We start from the raw sequence: 11234 nt of genomic DNA on the forward strand, positions 1-11234 counted from the left end.
GCATCACATTTACTGACTTGCATATATTAAACCAACCTTGCATCCCAGGGATAAAGCCTACTTGATTGTGGTGGATTAGTTATTTGATGTGCTGCTGGATTTGGTTTGCTAGTATTTCGTTGAGGAATTTTGCATCTATGTTCATCAAGAATATTGGCCAGAAGTTTTCTTCTTTTGTTGTATCTATGCCAGGTTTTGGTATCAGGATGATGCTGGCCTCATACAATGAGTTAAAAAGGAGACCCCTCTTCTCAATTGTTTGGAATAATTTCGTAGAAATGGTACCAGCTCTTTCTTATACATTGGATAGAATTCAGCTGTGAGTTTGTCTGGTCCTGGGCTTTTTCTGATTGAACCAGTAATAAAAATTCTACCAATTTCAGAACTTGTTATTGGTCTGTTCAAGGATACAATTTCTTCTTGGTTCAATCTTGGGATGTTACAGTTCCCAGGAATTTATTCATTTCTTTTAGGTTTTCTAGTTTGTGTGCATAGAGGTTTCATAGTCTCTAAAGGTTTTTTTTTTTTTTATTTCTGTAGGTTGAGTAGTAATGTCCCCTTTGTCATTTCTGATTGTTGTTATTTGGACCTTCTCTCTTTATTAGCCTAGCTGGTGATCTTATTAATTCTTTCAAAGAACCAGCTCCTGGATTTGTTGATCTTTTGTATGGTATTCTGTGTCACAATTTCCTTCAGGTCAGCTCTGATTTTGGTTATTTCTTGTCTTCTGCTAGCTTTGGGATCAGTCTGCTCTTAGTTCACTAGCTTCTCTAGCTCTGATGATAGGTTGTTAATTTGAGATATTTCTAACTTTTTAATGTTGATGTTTAGTGCTATAAACTTCCCTCTTAATACTGCTTTAACTGTGTCTAGAGATTCTGGCATATTGTATCTTCTTTCTCATTAGTTTTAAAGCATTTCTTTATTTCTGCCTTAAGTTTATTATTTATCCAAAAGTCTTTCAGGAACAATTTTTAATTTCCAGTAATTATATGGTTTTGAGCAATTTTCTTACTATTGATTTCTATTTTTATTGCACTGTGGTCTGAGAATGTGGTTGGTATGATTTCAGGATTTTTTTTTACTTTGCTGAGGGTTGTTTTATATCTGATTGTATGGTTGATTTTAGAACACATGCCACTGCACATAAGAAGAATGTATATTCTGTTGTTTTGGGGTGGAGAGTTCTGTAGATGTCTATTAGGTCCATTTGGTCAATTGTTGTATTCAGGTCCTGAATATCTTTGTTAGTTTTCTGCCTTGATGATCTGTCTAATACAGTTAGTGGGGTGTTGAAGTCTCTCACTACTATTGTGTGGTTATCTAAGTCTCTTTGTCTCTAAGAACTTGCTTTATGAATCTGGGTGCTTCTGTGTTGGGTGCATATATATCTAGAATACTTAGGTCTTCTTGCTGAATTGAACCCTTTACCATTATGTGATGCCCTTCTTTACCTTTTTTGATTTTTGTTAAAGTCTGTTTTGTTTAAAATTAGATTAGAAATCTCTAATTTTTTCTGATTTCTGTTTGCTTGGTAGATTTTTCTTCATCCCTTTACTTTGAGCCTATGGTTGTCATTGCATGTGAGATGGGACTCTTGAAGACAACATACAAGTGGGTCTTGCTTCTTTATCCAACTTGCCACTCTGTGCCTTTTGATTGAGGCATTTAACCCATTTACACTCAAGGTTAGTATTGATATGTGCAAATTTGATCCTGTCATTGTGTTATTAGCTGATTATTATGCAGACTTATTTGTGTGGTTTCTTTATAGTGCCACTGCTCTATGTACTTAAGTGTGTTTTTATAGTATCTGATAACAGCCTTTCCTTTCATATTTGGAATTCCCTTCAGGAAATCTTCTAAGACAGGTCTGGTTGTCATGAATTCCCTTAGGATTCATAATATCCTGGAAAGGATATTATTTCTCCTGCACTTATGAAGCTTGGTTTGTCTGCATATAAAATTCTTGGTTATTAATTCATTTCTTTAAGAATACTGTATATAAGCCCCCAATTTCTTCTGGCTTGTAAGGTTTTTGCTAAAAGGTCCACTGTTAGCTTGATGGTGTACCCTCTGTAGGCGACCTACCCTTTCTCTATAGCTGCCTTTTTCATTTTTCTCTTTCATTTTAATCTTGGAGAATCTGAGGACTGTGTGTCTTCAGGATGGTCTTCTTGTATAGTATTTCACAGGGCTTCTCTGCATTTCCTGAATTTGAATGTTGCCTTCTCTAGCACAGTTGGGAAAGTTTTCATGGGTGATATTCTGAAATAAATTTTCCAACCTTCTCACTTCCTCTGCCTCTCTTTCAGGGATCCCAATGTGTCATAGATTTGATCCCTTTACATAATCCCATATTTCTCAGAGGTTTTGTTTATTCTTCTTTTTCTTTATTTTCATCTGACTTATTTCAGATAACCAGTCTTCAAGTTCTGAGATTCCACAGCTTGGTTGATTTTGCTGTTAACATTTGGAATTGTATGCTGAAATTCTTGAATTAAGTTTTCAGCTTTATTAGATCAGTTTTTTCCTTCTTAAAATGGTCATTCCATATTTCATCTCCTGTAGCATTTTATTTCTTTGAATCCTTAGATTGGATTTCAACTCTCTCCTGAATCTCAATGATCTTCATTCTTACCCATAATCATAATTCTGTTTCTGTCATTTCAGCCATTTCATCGTGGTTAGGAACCATTGCAGAAGAAGTCACTCTGGGCTGTGTATAGTAGTTGACACCTATAATCCTGGCACTTTGGGAGGCTGAGGCAGGAGGATCACTTGAGCTCAGTAGTCTGAGACTAGCCTGGGCAACATAGTGAGATGTCATCTCTATTTAAATAAATAAACAAATAGAAGTCTCTCTGGATTTTTGAGCTGCCAGAGTTCTTGCACTGGTTCTCTCTCATCTTTGTGGGCTGATCTTCATTTAGTCTTTGAGCTTGCTGTCCTTTAGATGTGTTTTTTCTTTCATCTTCTTTGATGTCCTTGGGGGGTTTGATTGTACTATAAGGGTTCAGTAAACTAGCTTTGTTTCTGGAAGAGTTCAGGGGGCCAAAGCTCAGCTCAGCATTCCTGGGCTGCATGCTCTGACTCTGGGAGGCTATTAATGGGCTCCCAGCTTTGTTCTCTGGCCCCTTGATGTTAGGATTCTGCTGTGCTGGAGGGAACAAGCGGTTCCAAGACCGTAGTCTACAATATTTTGATAAGCGGTGCCAGTCAAAGCACTTTGTTGGGTGGTAGCAGCAGGATCCATGCTTGTTCACACGTGAAAGTGGCAGCAGCACATAGCAGGGTACATGCTCATCAACCGGGTTGGGACACTGGCAGGCGTGGAAATGCTGGCTTCCATGATGGTGTTTGCAGCAGCAGCTGTGGCAGCACAGGGCTGGGGGTAGGGCAAGGGGCAGGGCTGCTGGCAATGTCAACACCAGGGGCCGGGTGCATGCAGGCGCAGGGCTGATGGCCTTCATTCACAGTCCGTGCCACTGGCAATGGTGGTATGGGGTAGAAAGGGGGTGCAGAGCCGCTCCACACTTGATAGACCAAGGCAAGTATAGATTGAACTATACAACTAATGGTAGCAGATCAATAACAATTTCATGCATAAAACTTTGAAAGCATTATTGTCCACATCAATTGTATAGTTGACTATGTGTTTCTGGGACAATTGGCATATCTTATGTAACACATATGTATGGAATCACTTTTCTAAGCAGTGCATATATTAGGCAAGTGAGTCAACTACTCTGCAGCTACCATACTCTGCTAAGTTAAATCTACCAACTTCCCTTTAGCAAGTGCTCTGAAGTTAATTATTTTAGCATTTAAATGAGGTTTCCTGCAAGGATTCATCAGTGTTAAGTTATAATCATCCAGAAAATGGCCAAAGCCTCAAGCATCAGTGATTTGATATAACTTTATAGTGTTTAAAATTAGTCATAATTAGTGTCTAAATACTTGAGTGGTAATCTTAAGGTCATAGTCCCGTTTATTTTTTATTTTTATCATAGTATACTTATATGTTAAGTACAAAACCAATTTGGAATACACAATTGTGATGCATGTTTTCTCCTATCATTTTATTTTTAACAATGTCAAACCTACAGAAAATTGACAAAAATAGTAAATAAACAGCCATACAACATCTTCATTTGGTTTTACTAGTTGCCAACATTGTCATATTTACATGCTCATGCTCTCTCTCATGTGTTTATATGTACACATATTCACATATATACACACACTTTCTGCAGCTATGCATGTATATATATATATACATGTAATTTTATATATTATATATATGTAGCTGAATCATTTTGGATTTAGATGTACATTTGTAATTTTAGTCTTAAGGCTAGGTCTTATCAAATGTCATGAATAAAATAACATGTTTTACTTCTATTTTAATGCTTGTGTTGCCTTTCCCATGAAAATTTAACAAGGTTAATATAATATTTAGAAATGAAAGGAATATTATCTTTTTTTCAATTACCACAGTTAAGTCATATTTTACTATTTTACTTAAACTAACTAGTATCTGGTCTCCACTACTATATTGCCTCTCCACCTTCCACGCCCACGCCTATTCTATACTTTCAAGAACAGCCTAAGATCTTCTAAAACTGGAATCAAATCATGCCACTGCCTACTTGGATTACTCTGTGATTTCCCATCTCATTCAAGTGTTAAAGCCTACATTCTTAAATGGCCTACAGAAAACTGCACTGACTCCTTCCCTGTACCCCTTATCATCTCTAATTGCTCCTAAAGGACCAGGAAAGCTTTGACATCAGTGCCTTAGCACTTTGACTTTGCTTGTCTATTTTTTATTTTTATCATAGTATATTTATATGTTCTGCTTGGAACGTTCTTTTGTCAATACCCTCATGGACTGCTTCTGTGTTTTTAGATTTTTGACCTATATATTATCTTCTCATGAAGTTTTCTTAGCCAAGGTTTAAAAACTGTTTTTGAAATGCAAGCACTCTCTATCCTCCTTCCTTGTTTAATTTTGATCATGAGTACTTAGCAATATCTAATATATTATATCTTAAGAAATTTATGAACATGCAAGCTTCAGAAGATGTCTATTTTGTCTGCTGCTAAATTGCCAGCCCTGTAATGGTGCCTGCCACATAGGAGGTGATTTCTAGTTTTTTTAAAAAATGAGCGAATGATACAAATACAAATGAAGCAAATAATAAAGGTAATAATATTAAAGTTTAATCATCTTTTGTTCCTATTAGTTTCTTGAAGATAGTGTTAACAATATCAATGCCTCAATTTGGCAAGCATTTTGTGTTTTCCGCCATCTTCCACATATTATCGACTGTATGTTACCTTTTGCTGCATAACAAATTACCCCCAAACTTAGTGCCTAATGACAAAAGTGTTTGTTATCTCAGTCCCTTTGCTGTTAAATCTGGGTACAGCTTAGCTGGTGCCCCTGTTTCTACATCTCTTGTCACATCTCTCACGGGACTCTGGTCAGACTGTCGGCTAACTCTGCACTCATCTCAAGGCTTTCCAGGGCTGGGGGTCTGCTTTCAGGTTCACTTGTGTCATTACTGGCTGGTCTAGGTTCTTACTGCATGCCCACTGTACACGTTTTCTGAGTGTCCTTGTGACTTTGTAGCTGGTGAGCTGAGACAGACAAAGAGAGCTAAAAAGGGCTTTAAGACAGAAGCCACCATCTTTTACAACCTAATCTCAGATGTAACATCTCCGTGTAGCCCTCATCCAGGGGGAAAACATTACACAGGGTGTGAAAACCAAGAGCCAGGGATCACTGGAGGCCACCAGAGCATGCCTAGGGTACTGGTCATTTTATAGATATAGAGAATAAAACCTAGAGATATCAATTTTTCCAGTTTATTCAGTTAAAAGTAAATTAGAGTAATTCTAATTCTCTGCTAATCATCCTTTCAGGATTACTGATAAATTAAAATATAATAATTATTATTCCCAAAATGAACATATATTTTTGCTTTGCTATGTACCAGACAAAATTAAGTACTTTATATATGTCACCGCATTTAATCCATAAAACAACCCTCTATAATAAGTATACTTATTAAATATATTTACAGATAAGAAAAATGAGGAACAGAGAATTAAAATAACTTTCTCAGGGTCATACAGATAAAAAGTGTCAGGGTTAGCATTCAAACCTGGCAGTCTGGCTTGAGAGATTGGCTTCATAAGCCATACTCTATACTGTGTGCCTCTTAGACACAAGAAAACAAAGTAAGTGACTGTCTTAAGCTCATCGGGATTCATTTTGTAACTCTTTTTTAAACTTAAAGCAACAAGAGAATTTTACTGTTATCTTAATGTTTATCTGGTGAGGAAACACATACTACAGGAAAAAAACACCTCAGATTTAAAGTTATATCCATTGGGTATACAGCTCAACAGTGAAAAAATAATAGAACAAATATGTGTTCGTGGTCAGATTGACCCTGAATAGAGTGTCTAATGCTGACTGTGTTGTTCTAGAGTGAATATTGCTTCCCTCTTCCAAAGAAATAAGAAAGCCACACACAGAGAATACCATCCAGTGCATGGGAAATACATATCCTCCTCTCTTTCTTCTTTCTAGTTTATAAAAGTTCCCCTTCCAAATGGCAATAAGTCACTTCAGAGAATGCATTTTCTAAAGGATGATTGCCCTTCTTGAGTAGTGATGCACTTAAGGCAGGCATGCAGTAATCCCCAGAAATGTACTGCCTGGAGTGTCTTATTGCTTAATTAGAGCTGGCACGGGGCCACTTCTTCTCAGCCTTGAATTAACGCAAGAGCAGTGGAAGGAGGCACAGGTATAAGATGTGCTATTTCAGGAGGATATAAAGTAATGGCACAGTGCCAGTCTGCAGAAAACAAAGCCAAACACTCCTGCTACGACAATGAAATATCAAAATGCCTGGCTTCATTGTAGTCAGAGATTAAGTCCATCACTGTGCCCATGACCAGGGCTTAAACATGATCTCTGTTGTTCTAAAAGACTTTATAATCTTCACTCATAGGACCACAGGCCATGAAAGCACCCAGTAATTTGGAAGATATCACAGAAAGTTAATTGTAGGAGTCCAGAAGCTATATGTTGAAGAATTTTAGACCAAGATCACAGACTAGCAAATTATTATAATAAACATAACTTTTCCAAACAGAAGGAGGAAGTCATAATTTTAATTATGTAAACACATCCTCTTAACTTCCTTGAAAAGCCTACCCTTTTTTTTTGTTTTAAATAATACCATACTTTATCAAAGAGCAAACAGCTAGTCCACACCAACTGCATGATGAAACACCATGGCTCCAGCCAATGCCCACCCAGCTTTCCCATCTGCTCAAGGGCCTTCTGGAGAAGTTTGGCGAGCATCAGCAACACTTTACAACATACAGCAAGTTCTACTTTTCCATAATCCCTACATTAGCAACTTTCTATTTAAGTACTGAGACATTCTAGCTGGGGGTCACAGCACCCTGTCAACTAGACCCTTTGTTCTTTCCTCAGTGATTTTTCTGCCTTGCCTAGAGTTTCCATGAAGAATAAGGCAAGCTCCTTAATTGAAACAACTCTTGTCAACAAAAAACATCAACTCTGTCCACTGACAGAATGGAGCATAAGAACAAATCTTTGTTTTCACAATGAATGTCAATGGAAAACTTTATGTGATTATTCTTTAACAATCTTATACAACCATCTGATACTTATATTCTTCTTTCACAACCAGGGCTCTGTCTAAATCAACAGTTTATTGAATACCCACTGTGTTCTCATGGATATAAACCAGCCTTCTCTAGCAGTCACAATGTACCTAAAGGCCTAGAATCTGTAAGAAATTATTACTGGAAGTCAAGACCAGCTACATAATATGTGGGGCCCAGGGCAACATGAGGCTCCACTGAGGATAGAATTCTGTGGTATTACATGTGTGTCATGCCCACAGAGCTGGCCCTGCAGGAAGTCTAAAACATGATATGTGAAATGCAATTAAATACATATGCTCAATAGCATTGTTACATAGGAAGCTTTTTATGTGTCAAGGTAGCCTGTTAATTTAGTCCTTTCTAGTTAATTCAGCAAAACAAGCAAACACCTTCATTTTCCCCCACACCAACCAAAAAAACAGTATCTTAGAACAAGAAAATCTATTCTCAGGTAACTTGTGCTCACACCCTGTTGGCAAGGCTGGTGAATGTAATGACTAAAATAAGAATTTAAAAAATACTATTACGAACGTGCTATAGTCTATTAAAGAGAAAGTGCCATTAATGTGTAAAACCTTTTCAAAATGAAAGACAAGTACCTAAGGAAAAGAAACTTCAGGAGGGGAGGGGAGGAGGAGGAGTCCATAGAGAAAATCTGGCAGAGAGATAGCTTCCTAGTTCCAGTAGAGTTTTCGCAGCATCATGTTTTGTAACTTAACTTTCAGTTTGAAGCCTAGTGTTCACAATTGTAACATCCATAAATACTGCAAACCTTCCACAGGCATTTCTGTTTTTCTTCAAATAGTGTTCATTTGTCCACCGTGTGGAACTGGGAAACAGCTGACATCAGTCTTGACAGTGTTGGAGAGGCAGGTTACAGAGTCCCCTGGTGAAAAGGTACACAGAGCAGTGATGCCATAGGTTGAGTTACCTCATAGCTAAGACCTGCCCAGCAAGGACCGGAGTTAAATATATGTGCTGATAAATGAAGTAATCGTTGATGTTCCAGGCAAGTGTTTCCAAAGCTGGGATTTTACTGGATCATATCAAATGAGGGAGGAGACACAGATGTATCTTCCCAACTGGGAGGGGGGGAACAGTGTTACAGCTCAGAAGGAAACTATGTGTGATGCATATGTGCTCAGTTACACTAAGATGCCTTTCCTTTTCACATATATCTAGAATATGCAATTTATTTCAGTGTTTATGTATTGCTTGATGTTCTATCAACTTGGGAAAAAAAAGTGAATGTTCCTAAAAATGTCTTCATGGAATGGAATTATAACTTGTTTGTTTAGATAACTTTTGTTTATCTCTTTGAGTTATTCCGATACTGACAGTGACTCATACCACTGTCTTACCTCTATCCAAACCATGCAGTCAGGAAAGACTCTTAGGAAAGTATCTTTTTGGTTGTTTTATTAGCATAAAATATTATCTTCTTCCTTTGGCATTTTCTTCACAAACTCCTAATTTTATAGTTGTGGCATATTTTGAAAGCATTTAAAAGCATTGGGATATAATATTTTTTTTCAATGAGTAAATCACGTATGACCTTACCATATGTGAGAAAGCACTAATTTTGCTTCTATTTTTAGATATATGTTCAGGGTTTATCACTGACTTGCTGAATGAAAACTTTACCTTTGAAGACAGAGCCAAAGACATGCAATAATATAAAATGAGAAGATTGTACTCTTGCCTCTGACTCAGGGGACTGTGGTTTGTCTCTAGGTTTAAGACCAGAGGAGGACTGTGTGAGTCTTAAACCTCCCCAGCCCCCCACACTTAGCAATCTTTCTATGTATGGAACTTCCCACTATATTTAAACACATAGTCTGCAAGTTTGAAGGAGACCATGTGCAGCTCTAGAAATCAAGAGTAAGATTTAAAAGCCTTTTCTATAACACTGTAAATCTAATTCTTCCTTACTCCTAATTCCACAGTTTATGTACATACAGAAAATTTCCTTTTACCTTTCCTTCCTTCCATCTTTCCTTCCCTCCTTTCTTCTGTCCTGCCTTCATTCTTTCCTTCCTCTCTTCTGATTGTCATGAAGTTCTTGTGCTAGAGATCACCACTGAACTTTCTAGGACCATTCTGACTACGCCCCAGCATCTAGGAAGGTAGTGATGGGATAAACAGGAGGCTGGACATTCTTTGCGTTCTCCCTTGATTGATGGGGGTTATTGGATTGCTCGCATGCTCTTTACTTATTTAACATCCAAAAAGTCAACCACTATTAAAAGATATGTTTAATTAGATGTCAGTGAAGTAAGCTGAATTCATGCAGCCATAAATTTAAATTGGCAACTCTAACCTTAGGTTTCTTAAATGGTTTAGACAACTATTTTGTTCAGGCGGTAATGTTAGTACATGTTCTGTCTTACATTACTACTTCAAGACGAAAATGAGTACGAAATTTATTTTTTCCAGCATAGCCATAAATTCGTGGGGTTTTTTTATTTAAAAGCTTATGGAAAAAAATAGTCTCAGCATCCTGATTTATGTCATCTCTTTCACTCTCTCTCTCTCTCTCTCTCTCTCTCTCTCTCTCTCTCAGTTAAAAACTGATTGTCTGTTGTCTGTTTTTCCAGTAGCAGCATATCCTTACGGCATTTTTCCAGCCATAATAACAGTTTACAAGATGCTTTATTCAGAAGAACATAAATGAAATACATTCAGTTCCATCTTCCTTCTTTTATGTGTGCTACTGGATTTCTGCATTCCAGTTGGAACCACAGTAGCAAATGTGCTGAAAAATCAGTTTAAAAATCATTTTTTTCTCAATTGCCATTAATTTAGAAAATTCTGCTGCTAATTTTGGAAAATTGTAATTTAAATATTCAAGAAACCTGTAAAAGTGTTTTCTATTATACCTTATCATACATTATCATACGTTTGATCTACTTCACATTTCATTGACTGAAAAGGAATGATCTGTTATTCTTTATGTTGGTATTGTCTATTTGAGATACTTACCCTTAGTAAAAATGTAGCAAGAATGGCTAATTTGTGGGACCCAGAGCTAAATAAAAATAGGAGCCTCTTATTCAAAAGTTATTAAGAATTTCAAGACAGTTATAACAGAGCATTAAACCAAGCACTAGAGCTGAGTGCAGAGTCTTGTGTAGCAGCTCAGGTCAGACGCCTGTGGAAAGTGGCCCTGATGGGAGCATATTTCAGCTCCTTCTAAATCCTACACTCTGTAACCACATTTCCTGCCACTAATCTATCTAGGGATGCGCAAACCTCAAAAGGTGGGGATTTTTTATTTCTATTTCCAGGTATCAAGTAGATATGGGTTTTCACAAATGACTTTGGCTAGAAAACAAAGTTGTTTTTTTTTTAATGTTTCTTGAGCTTTGGGATTTCAGCCAGGTTGGTAAAAATCTCAGTAAGATTTTTCTAAGATAGAAGAATCCCAGTGCCCCATGTGAACATATTGGTGATGGGGGTCTGGGAGGGTAAAGCTCTCAGAGTTGGGATTTGCTCAGTTGGACTGCTTCCCTTATCTT

The sequence above is a fragment of the Homo sapiens genome, chromosome 4, assembly GCF_000001405.40.
Source record: "Homo sapiens chromosome 4, GRCh38.p14 Primary Assembly".
In the NCBI taxonomy this organism is placed as follows: Eukaryota; Metazoa; Chordata; class Mammalia; order Primates; family Hominidae; genus Homo; species Homo sapiens.